Source organism: Homo sapiens, chromosome 8 (assembly GCF_000001405.40).
Source record: "Homo sapiens chromosome 8, GRCh38.p14 Primary Assembly".
NCBI lineage: Eukaryota > Metazoa > Chordata > Mammalia > Primates > Hominidae > Homo > Homo sapiens.
In genome coordinates, this window is record NC_000008.11 from 138,663,026 (window position 1) to 138,682,453 (window position 19,428).

The following is a 19,428-nucleotide window of genomic DNA, read 5'->3' on the forward strand; positions in this document are numbered from 1 at the left end:
ACACACACACAAAGCAATCCCTGTCCTGAATTCAGAAATCATATAAATAAAGGTTATTTAAAATACGTTCACATGGCATAAGATACAATATCATCCCACTTGCTACAATGCAGCTATTTCCCCTGGGGTGAATTTATAGGAAATCGCATTTTCCCAGTAAATGCACGCACAGGCATGTCATGGATGGTTGCTGCTCCTAAGAATGAAGGCTGACTGAGAGCCCTCCTGTTGCTTCAGCATGAAGTCAGTCCACCAGGTCTCCACAGTGGCTCCCGGGTCTTGCTCTGCCTATGTTACAGATTAAGAGCAATCCCCATGTTGGCTCACTGCTGTGTGGTTGGGATTGGTGAAACCAGGATTCAAAATTAGTTCTTCAGGCAATTTGGCTGAATTCATTAAACCATGGCCACCCTTCTGTGTTGAAAAGATGCCCAAAACTGAAGCCAGTCTGTTTGCCTGACTATAATATGGGTGTGGCATCCCTTCTCTGCTCATATGTACATCTATCACACTGTATTCCACAGGTCAGAGTTCATAGGTTGGACAGTCTGCACTGTTCAATAATAGGAGGAAATTTCAGAATCTACTTCAGTTTTTGGTGCTTCCCATTTAAAACTGCTTTGATTCGAGCAGGATTCCTCCCATAGAAACTCATCCCTTTATTTAAAGCATACTGTACCGGGGATCCTTTGTCTCCTGGTGGTCCGGAAGGGCCCTAGAAACAAACAAACAAGTATGTAAGCAAAGTAGAAATGGCATGCTGATGTAAACAAGCTATGGTGTTTATTCCATAGACAGGTCCTCAGTTGTCCTAGGAGGAGTCACTAACTTCCTCCCACCTTGAAGCCACACTGCCATACCCTCTTGCCACCTACCCACCCACAAACGTTGCTCATGAAAATCTCTCTGGAAGCTCCTCCATTTGCTCCTCAACTGATGCCACCCTATCATCATCCCTGCGTGGCTCCTGACACCTGGGCCCAACTCTACTTTGTAGCTCTAGTGTGAGGTTGAACCTGGCAGCCCCGACTTCCCTGTATTACACCCCCTTGGAGATGCACTGGCTCTTTCTGCTTGGGAAAGGACGGGCATGATAACGACCACATTCCCCAGCCATAGCGCTAGTGTCTGAGGCTGCAGTAGTCATGCTCCCTTCTCCAACAAGGGGTGCGCGCGCGCGCGCGCACACACACACACACACACACACACACACACACACACACACACACACAGATACAGACACACAGACATGGGTCTGGCATCCTCCACTGTGCCCAGTTCTTTGCCAAGACAAAATTTGGCTTCTAGATATTATGCTTAAGATGCTGTTCATTGATTGACTGGAAGGCATTCACATGCATTTCCAAGTCTTGCAGCGAGTGGGACCGTCCCTTGCCCCTGAGGCTTTGCGATGCTTGTGCATTTCCATGAAGACTCTGTCCTGCCTTTCTGCCTGGAAACATTCTTGTCACACTCTGGTTCTCCTTTGAGAAATCCTGCCTGTGGAGAGCCTCCTCTGGCTTCTCCCAGGGTGCTCACTGGATAGTCCCCGCCCCTGTACACACCCTGCCTAAGACTGAAAGTCCAGCATTGTTACTGCCTGTTGGTCCACTCCTCTTCACTGAATGGACTGAATGCTCCCATGAGGTGGCTGTGGAGTCTGCATTCTTACCATGCTCTCTCTAGCACTCAGCAAGTGCCCTGTGCATTGCAAGAACATAGCCGACTAGAGCACAGCAAATAGCATTTGATCAAAATGAAAAATTTAAAGCACGAGGAGAACTTGAGAATCAATGCCAATCATCCCTTCTTTTCACTGACAATCAAACTAAGGTCCAGAGGAGAGAGAGAGAGACCTGCCCTAGCAACGCCAGGAGTCACTGGCCAGGGTGAGGTTAGTCCCACATCCTGCCCTCAGTCCAGTGCGCTCTGCATCTCCCTGTAGCACAGCCCACGAGAATGTCCCTAAGGCATTCCCGAGAGAGCAAAATGATTTCACACCAACGCCAAGGTTCCTGCAGTATAGTGTCAGGGGTAACCTAAAAGCCTACTCATTAAATATGCCCCAGAGCTGTCTAATAATAAAATAGAATAAGCATCATTTTAAGTGTGTATTTGGGCACTAGAGAAAGTAGAGAAAATCTCCAGAGGTCTAGAGAAAGAGACAACTGAGAAGCAGTGCCCTAAATCTACACAGACCTGCCCTGGAGGGGAGCAGGACTCTGATAGCTGTGCAGAGACAGGAAGCGAGGCTGGAAGCCCTTTTGATCAGTAAGTTGAAACTCAGAACAGTAAGTAAAGGCAATCCTTCAGTAGGTTATAGCAGGGGTCCACAGGCTTTTTCTGTAAAGGGACAGATAGTAAAGTGAAGGGGTAGAGAAGAAAATGATGTCAAGGAAGCTCACCCATCTTTGTCTGGGATGCAGGTGTATGATGAAGGAAGCCTCCTCTGAGAACTCACCCTCAGGGCCCTGCCCTTACAGGCATCTGGTAGCTCTAAGTCAGAAGTCCTGCAGAACTTCAGCTCAAAGGCAATGTGCCTACACACAAGTCAACTTCTGGGCACCCAGAAAGAAAATCCCCTAGGAGCATACAGAGCAGCTAAAGGATCTTCACAGATAGATTCCCAAAGGACACAAAACTGCAATCTCAAATTACAAAGCTGTTCACCACAAGGACATAACAAGTGGTAGAACTGAGTTTCCACGAACTTTGGAGGATGGGGTGGTCAGATACAGGCAACAAAAAAGGTCTATTAAAATGATTACATATAGAAAAAAAAAGAAAGAAAACAGAGAAAATAACATGGCATTATCCAGAAAGATCTGGCAGGTATCAAAAGAGCCAGAGTACATTTTTAGAAATAGAAATGTAGAGTCATTAAAATAAATGTAATAACCAGGTTAATTTGAAACTAATATAAAATAGGAATTTCCCAGAATAATTGTCTTTAAGAATCATGGCAAATGTTATTTCCTGAAGAACCTATGCAGAGTGGCAACTGAACTAAAAAATATATATATATAATTCTTAAGACACACAATGATCATGACTAACAGTGGCAAGTCACAATAAATTTCTGAAATTATTCTTTTTTTCCTCTTGACCAAATGAATGATAAATCACCAGAATATAGCACATTTGCTTCTCTCTTTCTCTTGAAATCTCTCATCATTTGTCAGAATTCTATCTCATTCCAGAAATGACTGAAAGAGTCATACAGACACATAGGGAGGTCTGGCTAGGGAAACAGAGATGAATGAATAACTCACACCTGCATAAACAAAGGGGACTTCCAGCTATTGGTCTATATGCCAGGAGTGGTCCTATCTGCTCCATACATGGATCATCTCTCACTTTAACCCCAATCAGAGGCCTACAAATTGGTATTATCAACATTTCATTGCTATAGATGGAGAAACTAAAGCTAAAAACCATTAAATAGCTTGGCTAAGGAGAAGCAGAAAAAATAATGGACTCAGAATTCCAACTCTGGTCTCTTTGACTCAGAAGCCAGTGCTCCCTTCATTCTACCTCACTGCTTCTGTCAAGGTGTAGGTCAGTGGTGCACATGGACCACCATACCTGCATCTGAACTGTGTTCCTTTCACAGTAGTTCCCAGGGAGGATGGATATGTATTCCTTAAGGAAAGGGCATGAGGGATGGTTTGTTATGGCCTGGGAAATGTCACATCATTTGAGAGTCACCCTTTGTTTTCAAGTTAAATCCCAGGATCCACTTTGAGCATTTAACTTGTTTACCATACGAGGCTCCAGGTTATTTTCTTATGTCATTTAACAGAAAATCCACTTTGAAGGATGCGTTTTTAAATTAAAGGTCTTCATTTCAAATCTTAGCTTATCAATCATCAGCTGTTTGACCTTAAGCAAGTTACTTAGACAGCTTCTCTGACCTTCACTTTTCTCAATTGTAATACAAATCTAGAGTATCACCTTGCCTTGTGTTATCAGAAATAAAAGAAGATACTATAAGTAGAGGAGCAGGCAGTGCCCAACCATAAAAGGAGTTCCCATGTCTATTCTGTCAGTCTACTTTTAAGAAAGATAAAGGTGTGCTGAAGAAGGGGATTATACAATGACTTTCTAATGTCATTCCTATATCTGAAGCTCAAATATGTTTTCAACAATTACAACCCTCTTCTCTGAAATTACGGCCTCTGATGCGTTTGTTCAAGAGTCATTTTACCCTAATACCCAGATTTGGGCCTTTGATACCAGTTTCTACTAAGAGAAACTATTATGACTTCTTGAAGAAATGACTGATCAGAGACCTGGACAAAAAATGTACACGACAAACCTAGAGAGAGAGCAAGGAGACCATCAAAGATTGCTAGGTTTGTGTCAAAGGTAATCAGAATCGACTTAAATAGACCCCCATTGGCAGAAGACAAGACAAAATGAGCATAAAAAGGAAGACAAGCTGCAATAATTTAAAACACATCAAATGTGTTTATATCCCCGAGTTCAAAATTATTCTTAGAACAAACAGCAACAATAAGCATCTAATTGGTCCTTTTTGCAAGATGCTAGGGAACCAAGTCATTATTTGAAAACAAGGGAAAGACTTCAAGCATTTATATTCTGCCTTCCATATGTCTTGTACCACTAGGTATCCAAAGGGTACTTTAGGGAACTTTTCTCTGTATAGAACTATTCCAGCTAATAAAGAAAGAATGAATAGAACTAGAACAGCGCCAGTCTGCAACCCTTGATGTACTAATTGGTACGAGCATTAGACATCACAGGGTGAATGCATCACAAAGAGGCTCCACCAGACATCATGTGCCTCCTGCTGGATGAACACCCCACCTGTGAAGTCTTGCCAACAACATCAAGCCAGAATCAGATCAAGCCTCTAGGTCTGAGTACCAACTTAGCTGAACCACAGAGACAGAGGAACACATTGAGCTATTACATTAACAAATGCCAGATGGTGGAAAATTCTATCAGACTAAAAAAAAAAAAATTTGAAACATCCAACCAATCGCTATATGTTTATTTGGATCTTAAAGAAACAAACAAAAAACACAGAAGCGTGACATGTATGAAATAATTAGAAATTTTAACACTGACTAGATATTTGATGGTGTTATGGATTTTTAAGGGGTATATTATAAGATTGTGGTTCTGTTTTTTAAAATTCTTATCTTTTAGAAACATATACTGAAATATCTACAGACAAAATGTGTCTGGAATTTGCTTCAAAATAATGGAAGGTAGCAGATAAGAGGAAAACCATGGTCATTGGCTGTGGGATCCTGGCACTAGTTGTGGCTATATGGGTGTTTATTTTACTATTCTACCTACTTTTAGTATATTTGAATTTCTCCATAATAAAAATTTATATATACACACACACACACACATGCACATATATATCACACATATGAATACACTTACATCTGATACACATGCACAGCCATGCTATTGGTGTTTTCTGACAACTATAGTAAAGTTTTATAAAACTGAAAGCCGCATATGGCTTTAGATATGTGAAACACATTCTCTTCTTTCTCTGCTGTCAGGCTGTTCTAAAAACCAGCTTCCCTTCTCTCAGAATTGATCACCTCTTTGTTCCCCCTACCATAGGCACAGATCTGAAAATAAAGTGAACTTTTATTCTCCGTAATCTTTGATCTGAGTACCTCACATGTGTGCAGGCCTAGTGCTGTGTGCTGGGGTGGGTGGCCAAGTGGCTGCATGGCATGGAGCCCACTTATGTGAAGCACTCCAGGTGAGAGGAAAATCTCTGTTGTAATGATTGATCAGGTTCAGTGAGTCAGGGTTACGGGATGCCTAGAGCTACTGGCATCAGCCCGAGAGAGTTTGAGGAACCTTCACCCAGAGGGGGATAGGCGAAAAGAGGTTTAGTGGGGTCGGGGGCTTCACAGGTAGAGAAGAGGATGAGGCAGAGATGTCTCTGGCAGAGGAGAACACTACGCAAAGAGGAGAAGTCAGACTCTGTGCTCAGAGAGCAGCAGGGGTGCCTCCAGGAATGCCCCAGGGAAGCTGGAGTCTGAAGGAGAAGGGCCTGAGCACCTTGCTGGAGAGGCCTCTGAAGCTACCCACCAGGCAAGAGGTGGGCTCAGATCCAGGCTTTAGGAGGACAGCTGTGGCTGCGGAGTGGCGAAGGGGTCAGAGGGAACAGACCAGAGGCCAGAGGCCAGGCACCTGGGGAGACCAGCGGGAAAACGCACGAGTGATGCAGGGGCAGAGTGAAGCTGAGCAGGAAGTGTGGAAATGGAGAGCAGGGAGTGCCGAAGAGGGCTCGGCCACGGCCGTGGGGTCTGATAAGGAGGCAGAGATGAGGGTCCTGGAGGCCGGTCAGGGCAGTGTCTGGCCTTTCCCATGTCCGGTACCAAGAAGCCTTTCTTGTGCTGGCTTTAACTGTGCAGAACCAGAAACAGCCCAGGACAGCCCAGCTCCTCCCACCATGCCACGAAGGAGGCTCCTGGAGCCACAGGGACAGCAGAGGCTGTCTTCTCGCTTAGAAACAAAGAGTGCAGACTTCAGGGCAAGATCAACGCAGGTTCAAATGCCTGCTTTGTCTCTCACTAGCAGAGTGACCAAGGCCAGCTGCCTAAACCTCTCTGAGCCTGAGTCTCCTCATCTGAAACCTGGAGACAGTAATAGTTACACCTTACTGGACTGCCGGGAAGACCAGGGAAGGCAGTGGCATGTCAAGCCAAGTGCCCAGCATGTTAAGTGTACCTTAGGAATTATTACTGAGAACAACAAAATGGTTTCATTTAGAAAGGAGAGTTTCCAATCAGAGGTGGCAGTAGAAACTTATTTAAAAACTATTTTCTATCTCCATCAACAGAAGAAACTCCTAAGACTTTTTTTTTTTTTTTTTTTGAGATGGAGTCTCGCTCTGTCGCTCAGGCTGGAGTGCAGTGGCATGATCTTGGCTCACTGCAACTTCCACCTCCCAGGTTCAAGCAATTCTCCTGCCTCAGCCTCCCGAGTAGCTGGGATTACAGGCACCCACCACCACACCCAGCTAATTTTTGTATTTTTAGTAGAGATGTGGTTTCACCATGTTAGCCGGGCTGGTCTTGAACCCCTGACCTCAGGCAATTCACCTGCCTTGGCCTCCCAAAGTGCTAGGATTACAGGTTGAGCCACTGCACCTGGCCATTCTGAGACTTTATATAAAAACCAACTCCTGGTTATACGTGGCTCAGCTCCTGGTTATACATGAAGCAATACAGGAGCCCTGGAGTCTGGAAGGTGGTGTGTGGCTTTACACCTTCCTCAGCCTCCTCCTTCACTACCCACAGGACGCAGCTCTGTGCACTGGGCAGGGCAAGAGTGGATCTCAGTGAATCAAGCCCTGCACATTCCTTGAGCATCGGCCATGGGGGCAAGGCCGGGAGCTGGGGCCTGGGGTAACCATGGACAAATGCCCAGTGTTCCCAAGTAGCATCCAGACAAGATGGGGGTACTCACACCTAACAGAATCTAGCCAGCCTAATTCTTGGGACAGCGTCAGTGGCTTTGGTTCTTATGATCAAAGGAACTGGACTAAAGCAGGCAGATAAGACATGAATTAAAGAAAAAAAACCACACAGGCTGGACATGGAAGTCAATCGTGCAGGAGCAATCATGCACATAAAAAGCCACCGGTAGGCTGGGCACGGTGGCTCACGTTTGTAATTCCAACACTTTGGGATGCCAAGGCAAGTGGATGGCTTGGGCTCAGGAGTTTGAGACCAGTCTGGGCAACAGGTCAAAACCTCATCTCTATAAAAAAACACAAAAATTAGCCAGGCATGGTGGCTCGCACCTGTAGTCCCAACTACTCAGGAGGCTGAGGTGGGAGGATCACTTGAGCCCAGGAGGTTAAGGCTGCAGTGAGCCATGATCACGCCACTGCACTCCAGCTTGGGGGACAGAGCGAGACCTTGTCTCAAAAAAAAAAAAAAAAAAAAAAAAAAGCCACTGGTGAGTGTGAAGGCTAAAGTGAACACGAACTTTTGTTACCACAGTTGACCCCTGAGCAACATGGGCTTGAACTGTGTAGGTCCACTTCAATGCAGATTGTTTTCAGTAAATACAGTGGAAAATATTTTGGAGATTTTCAACAATTTTTAAAAACTGCCAAATGACCCAGTGGCCTAGAAATACTGAAAAATTAAGAAAAAGTAAGGTATGTCATGAATGCATAAAATATAGAGAGATACTAGTCTGTTGTATCATTTAGTATCATAAAATATACACAAATCTATAATAAAAAGTTACAATTTGTTAAAATGTGTGCACACAAACACAGACCATACATGGCACCGTGGCTGTTGAGAGAAATGTAAAGAAACATACATGCAGCATTAAGTCATAACTGCATAAAATTAATGGTAGCCAGACCGTAGTACTATAATAATTTCATGGCCACCTCCTGTTGCGATTGTGGTGAGCTCAAGTGTTGTGAGTATCTGCTTAAATGCTGCGTGATTCTAATCATCTCTGCGTGAGCAGTCTGTCTCTCCAGTAAATTGTGTTGCCAAAGTAGAAAGCGTTCTCTCGCAGATCTTGCATTTTTTTCTTTGTCGTGTTTATTGCAATACTGTAAACACTGAATAACACCAGAAAACCCACATGAAGCACTACAAGTGATGCTGGAGGTTCTTCCACGGAGCAGAGAAAAGTCGTCATATTACAAGAAAAAGCTGAATGGCTTGATGTGTACCTTACACTGAGGTCTGCAGCTGTGGCTGCAGCCATTTCCAATGGACTATTCTTACAAGCAAACAACACAAACTTACGGTATTGATAAATACTGTACAGTACTATAAATGTATTTTCTCTTCCTTATGATTTTTTTCATAACTTTTTTCTCTAGCCTGCTTTGTTGTAAGAATATAGTATATAATACATATAACATACAAAACATGTGTTACTTGACTGTATTATCAGTAAGGCTTCCAGTCTACAGTAGGCTATTAGTTAAATACTGGGATAGTCAAAAGTTATACTCAAATTTTCAATTGTGCAGGGTCAGCACCCCAACTGTCACATTATTCAGGGGCCAACTGTATGGTACCCCTGCTGGAAGAGTGGTTAAGGGCATTTGCTTGGAGTTAGAATGCTGGGGTTCCTGTCCTAGCTCTACCATGTCCTAACGGTGACTTCAGGGAAGTGGCTTCATATCTCTGTTTCCTCACTTGTAAAATGAAAAGAAAAGTGGAATCCACCTGCTAGAGTTTCTGGGAGAAACAAATGAGAGACTATCTGTGAGATAAATGAGAGGTAGACATGGAGGCCTTTGCTCACTCTTGTCCCTGCAAGTAGGCACTTTATGTTGGCTGTGGTTGCCATTACTCTAATATTTCAGTGGCTGTTATCTTTATTATTAATATATTATTCCTTGGAAGGTGGGGGGATGAAAAAAAAACTGTTCTGTTAGGGCACTTGAGATATTTGTTTGCACATAACGGGGCCATGCTTCCTGCCTCTCTTAGGCTAGAAGGCCCACTGGAGGGCAGGGAGCCTGGGAATTCTGTCCCTTTTGTATGTGCGTCCTCAATGCCTGGACCAACTGATGTAAGGCATCAGTACAACTAATTCCAGGGAGGGACAGTGAGAGGCTCAAAAAGGGACGTCATTTCAGGCTGCAAAGTCTGAGAAAGACATCAGGCAAACAGGATTGCTATGACATCACTGGGGCAAAGGCAGGGAAGCAGGTATTATCACCAGTATTATCATGTTGTATTCCTCCCAATTTCCTTGATGCTGCTGCAGAAATTGCTGGCACCTGATCCATCAGGAAACTGAGGGCCCGAGTAGGAAGGAGCAAGTCCTGGGTTACATGTGGGACCTTATCTTCACAAACCCCAGCTCCTTCAGTCAAACTAATTTGGACTTTAATCTGTCCCAGGGCCTAAGGAGGCTCATTTTGTAAGCAACTTAAACATTGCTAAGGGAACATCAGAGGCAACCTAAAGATTAAAGGGATTTTTGTTTGTTTGTTAATATCTTGAAGCAGCAAGCCAAAACCCCAAACAATGGCCTCATTCATCCCCCTGCCTGGTGACAGTGCAGAGATTGGCAGACAGAGCTCCTGGCTCCCTTCCAGGGAGTCAGTGCTGCCCTGGATGCCAAAGGCATGGGAGCATGACATCACGGGAGGAAGGAAGCAAAGAGTAACTTACTTACAGCCGATCTATTTTTTTTTTTTTTTTTTAGACAGAGTCTGGCTCTGCTGCCCAGGCTGGAGTACAGTGGCGGATCTCAGCTCACTGCAATCTCCACCTCCCAGGTTCAAGCAATTCTCCTGCCTCAGCCTCTTGAGTAGCTGAGATTACAGGCATGCGCCACCATGCCTGGCTAACTTTGGTATTTTTAGTAGAGACAGGGTTTCACCATGTTGCCAGGCTGGTTTCAAACTCCTGACCTCAGGTGACCCACCTGCCGCAGCCTCCCAAAGTGCTGGGATTACAGGCATGAGCCACCATGCCCGGCCCCAGCCGGATCTATCCTTAATGTGCCTTCTTTGAGGGATCTCACAGAAGATTAATGGAAATGAATAAATCCTGCCCATCCTGCCGAAGCCACAAAGCGAGGTGTTGCAGGGGGAAAAGGACTGGTTTCAGAGGTTGTGGGAAGCGGGTCTGTATCCTGGCCCTGCCCTGGGCTGGCTGTGTAGCATTGGCCACATCATGTCACCTTCTGAACCTCACATTGTCTACCTGGAAAACAGTGATGTAGTGGACAGGTCAGTTCCCTCCTGCCACGTTCCCTGGGCATGCACCTGCCCAGGGCTTTCTTTAGCTACAGGTGAATGATTGGCCCAACCACAGGGAAGGCTGAGAGTTTCTGGGAGTCGACTCCCCAGGGAGCAGCCTCCAACCAAACACAGGCAGGAGGTGGTACAGAAACTCCCCAGCTCTTTCTCTCCCTTTGCAGAACAACTCTGCAACAACGCCATGCAGTCACTCAGGGGCTGTTGTACAGGTGAGTCCCAGGTACCCACGGTGGCCTTCTGCTCAGTAACATACCCTCCCCTTGGCTTGCTTTCTTTGTCTGTCTCACTTTGTCACTTCCTAAGTAGTGATTTCTAAGATCACCTCCCAAACAAACTCCTTGCTCTTGAATCCCCTCCTTAGGGGCTACATGGGATCCCAGCCTTAACCAACGGATAAAACCAACTTGCCCAGGACCAAATGAGGAGGTAGATGTGGATGCTTTGAGGCCCAGCACAAGATATGACACAGGACTTCTCAGCAAATGGCAATGTTCCTGTAACGAGGCAACTGCATCCCCAGTGAACTTGACATGTACCCACCCCCACGCTGACCCCTTCTTCACCTCCTCCACACACCTTTGCTTAGCTCAGCATATCTTTGCACACTCCATACAGATTCCCAGGCCATTACTGGCCTGGGCTGTGGCCAGAGATAGGATTTATGAAAATTCAATAAGGTTTTATCCACCACGGAAGCTTTTAATAAGTCCAAGAGGTAGCCAAGATACTAAACAGTTGATTTACAGCCTCTTGACTAGAGCCAGCCAATTACTTTTCAGGTGGACTTACTTAGGCGGGAACATATTTCATGGGTGATTTTTGCTGGCTCTTCGGTGGCAGGTGGGGTGAATTGTGTCCGCCTCCACAGCCAGCTTTCTGTAAGGGCTGATAAGGTGAATCTGCAGGGAGTAGACAGGGTCACGTAGAACCCTGGTAAGTGATGGGGGTGCCTCATTCAGGTTACGGGTCTGCAGTTTCACTTACAACCCTTTCTCTATGCTAAGGAGCGAGTGCCACATGAAGCAGCATCCTAACTCCAGCAGAAGGGGCCCTATTAAAGGAGAATTTCAGAAAGAAGAAGGCATAAACTATTGTGTTCTCTCGCTGCACTTATTGTTACAGTGTTCCTTCCAGTTACAAAAAGACTCAACAAAAATAGCCAAAGAACAAAGGTAAAATGAATGTAATGAAGTGGGCAGTTTTACCTGAGAATGTGTTTTAAGGAAAACAGTTTAACCAAACTAGACATTCCCAAGGGCATTCCACACGCCTCCTTCCATGCTTTTCAGGAAGATCTAAGAAGACACAGAGCTACCTGGTCTTCTTGTCACCATGAAACAACCCATCATTGTGAGTGGGTAGAAATAACAGTGAGGGGGTGATTTCTGGTGTGGAAGCCAGGAGGCCTGCTCCAAAATGGGAGGACGAAGGAGAATTTCAGGGAGAGAGTGAGAGGCCCAAGAACTACTCTGGATGTAAGAGAACCACAGAAGAAAAGGAAAGGGGGATTTTCTTTCACAAGTAATATTTTGGGTAATAAGTTGGATTTTCCTTCTTATTCTTTGAGAGTCATGCATGAAGAATGATATTACTCTTAATCACTCTTGGTCGTGGCCTTCATTTATTGAATGCAATACCAGACAGCAACTAGACCATGTATTACTCCAGTTTATATTCCAGTTGCATTTAATAAAGATAAAGTTAGATTGTGCTTTTGGGTTAAGATAATAGTAACAACAACAATAATACATGGGTAGTTTAGGTATTCCATGGCTTAGCAAGCACTGAGTATTTGAGCTTCTTTTAAACAATAGCAAGACAGGGCTTTTAAGGACAAAGTAAATGCACTTTTAAGGTGCATTAAGAGGGTATGATGTCTTTATCAAAGAACGGACTAAACAGAAGAATAGGCTTCAAGGTTGTAAACTGGTCTTATGTCCCAAAAACTATCATTCAGTAAAGAAGGAAAGAAAATATGTGTTCTTTGTGGTACAAAAGGGAGAATTAAAAGCAGTGGGTGGAAACTACAGGATACCATAATGTTATTCTCAATGAAAACAAAATTCTACTGAATTTCCATTATCTATGGAAATATATTTTTAAACTGCAGAGCCAGATGTACTGGCTTTGAAAGAAGTGTGCCTTCTATTTCTAGAGGCATTCAGGTGGAGGCCGAAGATATTGATAGCAATCCTCAACCTGAACGGGAACACACTTCATTGATTCTTAAGATCCCTATAACTCAAAGTTTTAGCAACTCTTAAAGCTATCACCCCTAGTGAGTTTGTAAACTAACACCTAGTAGACTGATGTGAATTATTCATTAGAACTAGCGGTGGCTCACGTCTGTAATCCCAGCACTTTAGGAGGTTGAGGTGGGTGGATCACAAGGTCAGGAGTTCAAGACGAGCCTGGCCAACACAGTGAAACCCCATCTCTACTAAAAATACAAAAAATTAGCCAGGCGTGGTGGCAGGCACCTGTAATCTCCGTTACTCGGGAGGCTGAGGCAGGAGAATCACTTGAACCTGGGAGGCGGAGGTTGCAGTGAGCTGAGATTGCACCACTGCACTCCAGCCTGGGCAACACTGCGAGACTCCATCTCAAAAAAAAAAAGAAAGAAAAAGAAAGAAAGAAAGAAAGAAAGAAAGAAAGAAAGAAAGAAAGGAAGAAAGAAAGAAAGAAAAGAGTGTTTCTGCAGGCAGGTCCAACAGGAAATGGCTGTATGTCCTGAAAGCAAGTAAGAGCTGGATAAATAAAGACTTACAGGAGGGCCAGCAACCCCAATGCCTGGGTCACCACGGCTGCCAGGAGAACCAGGGATCCCAGGAGCTCCTCGATCCCCCTAGAAAGAGAGAAAAATAAGATCAAGGAGGTCAGTGCCAGGAAGGAGAGGGCTAGGGTACAAAATGAATCATGCTTCTTCTAGAATCCTGACTGCAGGCTTCTCCTGCCACCTGGCCTCCATGGGCCATGCTATAGTCTACCCAGGCAGCCCATCATCCCACTCAGCCCAATATTCAGGGACCACAGCCACCAACTCAGATTATATACCTTTCAAGGACGACCACTCCCGGACCAACCTTGACCATGGCTCTAAATGTGATTATAACACTATGGCCCTCCCCATGTGAGCATTGTCCAAATCTACCATGCTTTCTTCAAACCACATCAGACCCTCATCCTAACTATACCCCAGATTTGCGCATGCACCCACATTTCAATTTAGATCCCAAATCACCCATAAATTAATTTATCAATTCACCAATAATTTGCCAAGTACCTACATTTTGCACATCATCCTTCTGGATGTGGGAGGAGGAGCCTAAAGGGGACCGAGATAAGACCTTTGCCTTCAAGCATAGTTAACAGTGTGGACGTGGGTGTCAGAGGCCTGGATTTAAGTTCTGGTTTCAACACCTATTAACTGTTAACTTAGGAAAGTGATGAGTTCCTATGCTCTAGTTTCCTCACCTACAAGGGGAACAGGACAGGAGCTGCCAGGTCTGCAGATGTTGTGCTCACTCTATGAGATTATGCAGAGAGAGTGCTTGGCACAGAGCCCAGCACAGCACTGAACCTGAGCTAGGAGTTGTGTTTGCTTCTGTTCTCGTTGTACTGCCATGCTGGACTTTGATGGAAAAGGAAAAAGGAGGGAGAAATTGAAAAAGGGAAGAAATTTTGTTTGCCATTTCCTGGAGAACATGGCCAAGGCCGAGCCACGCCTTATTCGTAATTTCAAAATCCTCAGCCCTTAAAAACAAGTGTTGATCTCAACTCAGTTGGCAGCAAAACCTGACTTGTGCTATTTGCAGTCTTTGGTTATTCCATTGTGTGTTGAAAATTTACATATTTTTGTCGCCTAAGGATTAATGTGCTTGATTAGGGGTGTTGCCCCAGATACTATCATAAATGTCATTATGTGTATATTTTGCATATTACCTTTCCAAAATCGAAATTGAATTTGGCCCAAAACAGACATGGCCCCAACAGTTTTGTGTAGGAGGCCATGATCCTGAGCTTATTCAGCCAGCTGAACCACAGTCAAGCTTGAGGCCAAGACGGCAGGTGATCTTGCTCAAGCCACTTAATACCTCTGGAATGAGTTAACTCGTATGACAAACGGAAACAGCCTCAGAAGCTTGTTATGAAGAGCCAATGAGATAATGTTGCAGCTAATTAAGGTAGAACTCGATATTGCTAGGTAATTTGTTGCTTTATTAAGGTTTAGGTTATTGTGCATTACAAAATATCTCATTCATGGCTCTAAGATGACTTGCCTTTCCTATAGTACAACCGTTGCCTGGATGAGTACATAAGCTATGTATTCATTCAACTAATGCTTATTCATTCACTGCAAACCATATTCTAGATTCCAAGCCCAGAAGATTACTCAGTGCCCATTGTCAATACTCAGTGCTAAGTTCAGAAGAGAAGGGATGTTCATGGGGATATGAAGGAACAGACCTTGCGAAGTTCTCACAAAAGACACAAACCAAGACCTAAATCTCTCACTAGGTCTCCTTGACATCATTTCTTCCCCTGGTCCCTCTGGGCCTCTGAGTCACACTACCTGCTGTTTCTGGGTCCCTAGGAGTCAGCAACATCCCTTGCCCTGCCCTCATCTCTGCCAGCAGTTCCCTCCTCAAATTTTCTGTAAATTCTCAATTAGTATAATCTGTTTCTTTAGAATAATATGATATGAATGGTTCTTGGAAGTTCAAGATACTTCGGATCCCTAGAAAATCTAACTAGTTTCTATGGGGTGGTTGGGGAATAGAGGGAGTAAAAAAAAAATAAGACAAATATGGAAACAAGTGTCATGAACCAAGAATGACCATCATGACATGTGATTTATCTGTCACCAGTTCATTGTAGCAATGGAGAGGGGCATGTAGGAAGATTTCAAGCTGGTAGTCAGGTGATTCTAGGTCCAGTCTCAGGACCAAATCAACCTCATCCTGTGACCTTCGGTAAGTCCCACAACCTCTCTGCATCACTGGGTCCTCATCAATTAAAAAAAAAGTTCTACCAAATCCTCATGTATCTTATGAAGACATTTAAAAACAACTATATAAGGTTGAGAAATACATTGTATATTATGGTTGCATTATTATCACTTATTTATTATTTCTTTATTTTTGAGACAAGGTCTTGCTCTGTCACCCAGGCTGGAGTACAGTGGTGTAATCATGGCTCACTGCAGCTTTGACCTCTCAAGTTCAAGCAATCCTCCTGCCTCAGCCTCCCTCCATAGCTGGGACTACAGATGTGAACCACCACACCTGCCTAATTTTTGACATTTTTTATAGGGATAGGGTCTCATTATGTTATCTAGGCTAGTCTCGAACTTCTGAACTCAAACAGTCCTCCCTCTATTATTACCTTATATGCAGAGGTAGAAGATAGAAAGTGAACTAAACACATATAAATGTCAGATAAATCTATATTTCTTTGCACTTTGGTTTTGCTTTAAAAATCTTAATGCAGATTTTCCTGTTATTCTTATTTTCTGTTTTAGTTTGAAACAGAAACTGTCCCTTTCCTGTCCCAAGGCCATGGTCCATGTACATCAGCAAACCATGACCATTGCAAGCTAAGTCATGTCAACAACCTAGTTTGTATGCTTCCATGGTATTTGTTTGCTCTTCTGTTTTGTATACATGCTATTTCCCCTTGTCTGGGATCTTCTTCCATCCATGTTCTAAGCTTCCAAAGCCTACTTATCAACTAAGACTCAGTCCCATTATTTTGTTGTTATAAAGCTGCCTCTGCCTGTCTTGTCCTTCTGTCTTTTTGCAAATGTTTGCATAGATCTTCACTGACCTTAACACATTGCCCTCCCAGTGCACAGTTTTCTGACCCTCTGACTTTTCCGCAAGCAGCCTGAAAGTAGAAAATCTTCACTCATTTCTTCACCAAACAAATGTTTACCAAGCACCTAAAATAATTCAGCCCCTCTGTTAGGTACTGGATCTATGCATCTCTGTATCCACAGTGTCCAGATTAGGGTCTGGCACAGGTGGCAGCTAATAACCATTTCCTGGATGCAGGAACAAAAGAATCCTCCATCCATCATTCTGTGTCAGGCATTGAGATCTGCCTTTGACCAAAATAAACTTTTTCAGAGGAGGCAGCATGACAGAAAGGCCTCTCCCAGCCCAGTCTGGAAGCGTGGAGTCACTGACTGCTTTCTGCTACACTAGGTGTGGCTCCGTTTGTCTGTTTACGGTCCACTGTGATGCTAACAAATTCCCCCAAGAAATGACCTTACAATTTCATAAACTGAAACTTTTAGAAAACGGCCCCAAGAAGAGCAAAAATATCTTAATGTTCTGACAGGAAAAGCCAGAAGGCTAATGGTTAAGAAAGAACAGAGCACATGAGCTAGAATCGGTAGCACAGTGTCCAAGGAAGAGATGTGGGAGGAAGGAAGTGTGGGGGTTGTAGACGGAGGATGATATTTATTGAGCAACAGCTGTGTGTCATAAGATCATAGATCTCCTGAGGAGCCCTGTAGGGGTTAAACACTCTTTACTCCTTCATACGGAAAAGGAACTGAGGCTCAGAGAGACAAAGCCACTTGAGCCACTTGCCTTTGAGTCATCTGTCTTGTAGGTAGCTGAGCTGGGATTCTAACCCAGTTCTGTATGAAGCCAAAGCTTACTTATCCTGCTAGAAACAAGTGCCACTCAAGAGAAGTACTGGCATCTTCAAGAGTCTTCCTGCAGTTATAAGGAATTAGAAGGGGCCAAGGGGCAGCCAAGGAAAACCTTCAAATAACTCCCTTCCTTGATTTCCTAAGGAAATTTCCTTAATTTCAATCAGCACCTGGGACAGTACCAGGGCAAGCCTTGTGGATGTCACCCTCTCTAGGATCTCTTTCTCCACCTCTCCCTAGCTTCCCCTGCTTCTTACCTTCTTCCTCCGGCTGAGCAACCCATTCTTCAATGAAAGATGACCTCAAATTCCAATTTGTCTTCCCAATGCCAATTGACTATGGAAAGCTTTCTAAGCCACATTCTGACTTACACATTTACACAATATCAACACTGGAATGGGTCATGTGTTTAGACATCTCACATTTTAAGTAGGAGGAAACATTTGGCCAAAGGAGCAGTATGACTTGCTCTGAGACTCACGGAGTTGAAACTGATTGGTCAACTGGACCCATGTCAGGGATGTCTGCACTCTTCCCCCCGGGGGGGGTCTCAGCCTGCCTCTGCTCTTTAATGCTGCCTCCCCCACTTCCCCTAGGCTTCCTCCAACAACTGCATGCCTGCAGAGATAAACCCCTGCCTTCTTGCTGCCACCCCACAGAGTGATCTAATAATAAGGATCTAAGCATAATCATAATAATTAATAATAAGGTCTAAAGCAGACCCCACAGGGTGATCTAATAATAAGGATCATGAATATTTACTGAGCAGGTAACTGTGACCGGCACTATGCTAGGCAACTGTATGTATGCATACTTGTATGATAACATTTATTTTTCCCCCAGACTCTGCCTGTGAGTTAGGTAGTAATACACTCTGAGCCTACCCATCAGTGGATCTTTGGGATCCATTGGATCAGTGGATCACTAAGATCCCAAAGATATAGCTACAGAATAAACAGGATAAAGGGGAAAAAAGGTCTCCTACTGTTAGATCAGTGGTCATACAGAAGGAGCATTTGAAGCCACTTTGCTGCTCCACCATTTCTGGTGCTCTCACCTTCCTGTCTTCCAAGAGGCTATCAATACCCTCTAGATCCTAATGCCCTCTAGGCCCTGAGGGTCCCTGAGGTCCTTCTCCTCTAAGGGGAAAGAAGTGGAGCCCCTGAGCACTGCAGATCGGACTGGGCTGTGTGCACCACATCACGGGGGAGCCTGCCACGTATCTTCAGATTGGTGGTTAATGCACAAAATCCTCCAGAATCTAGGTCCTAATTCCTTAATCTGCCCCTCTCCATATATACCCACTGTTCCAGGCATATGGAACTATTTTATATGATCCCGCAGTCAGGGAAATGAGGAGTGGTTATGTATTTACTCATATCACACAAAAACATTTTCCCTTTTGAAAAATATTTTGACTGTGAACATCACCCTTAGGAAAAAGCACATTGGTCTACATTGACCAAATTAGTGTAAGCTTGGGATGTTTACAGAGGTCACCTCACCTGCTTGAATAAGGGGAAACCATGAAGCAATGAAATTTAATATAGATAACAGTAATTATTTCTGGAGCCTCACATTTTCATATCTTGCATGTTATTGTAAGCAAGCCTCTCACATACAATTTGAGAAGCAATACACTCTGCGTTTATGTTGTTGAGATACCAAAGGTGCAAGTATAGAAAGAAATAAATAAAAAGGGGAAAAAACATCTCCTACTGTTTGGAGAATGGTTTCTGGGGCTTAGAATAAAACTTTCAGTAATAGCAGCATGCATGCATTCCAGAAGTGTTGAATCTTTAAAGAACTCAGGTGGAATGCATAGTAATCAGCTCTGGAGAAGTGCCAGCTGACTTAGAAAGTGGCTCAAGGGATGATGACGGAAGACATTGAAGGCATATAGGAAACTTTAAAAATTGTTTTCATAGACATATGCAAGTACAAAAGAAGTAATATAATTTTACAATAACACTTTTATTATTATTTTGAATATGCATGTCAA

The 19,428-nt window shown here is 44.0% G+C and overlaps 1 protein-coding gene across 12 annotated transcripts in view; it reads right to left on the minus strand.

Moving 5' to 3' along the window:
• Nucleotides 1–19,428, minus strand: part of COL22A1 (collagen type XXII alpha 1 chain) — a 325,807-nt gene that overhangs the window by 74,791 nt on the left and 231,588 nt on the right. For 11 of the 12 annotated variants that reach the window (XM_017013150.3, XM_011516886.4, XM_011516884.3 and 8 more), the window contains 2 exons: nt 13,533–13,610; nt 680–715 (listed from right to left, as the gene is read on the minus strand). In XM_017013150.3, the coding sequence (XP_016868639.1) occupies nt 680–715; nt 13,533–13,610 (114 nt within the window). Of the gene's footprint in view, nt 1–679; nt 716–13,532; nt 13,611–16,591; nt 16,652–19,428 lie in introns of all 12 variants that reach the window. The other variant, NM_152888.3, reaches the window with a different exon arrangement.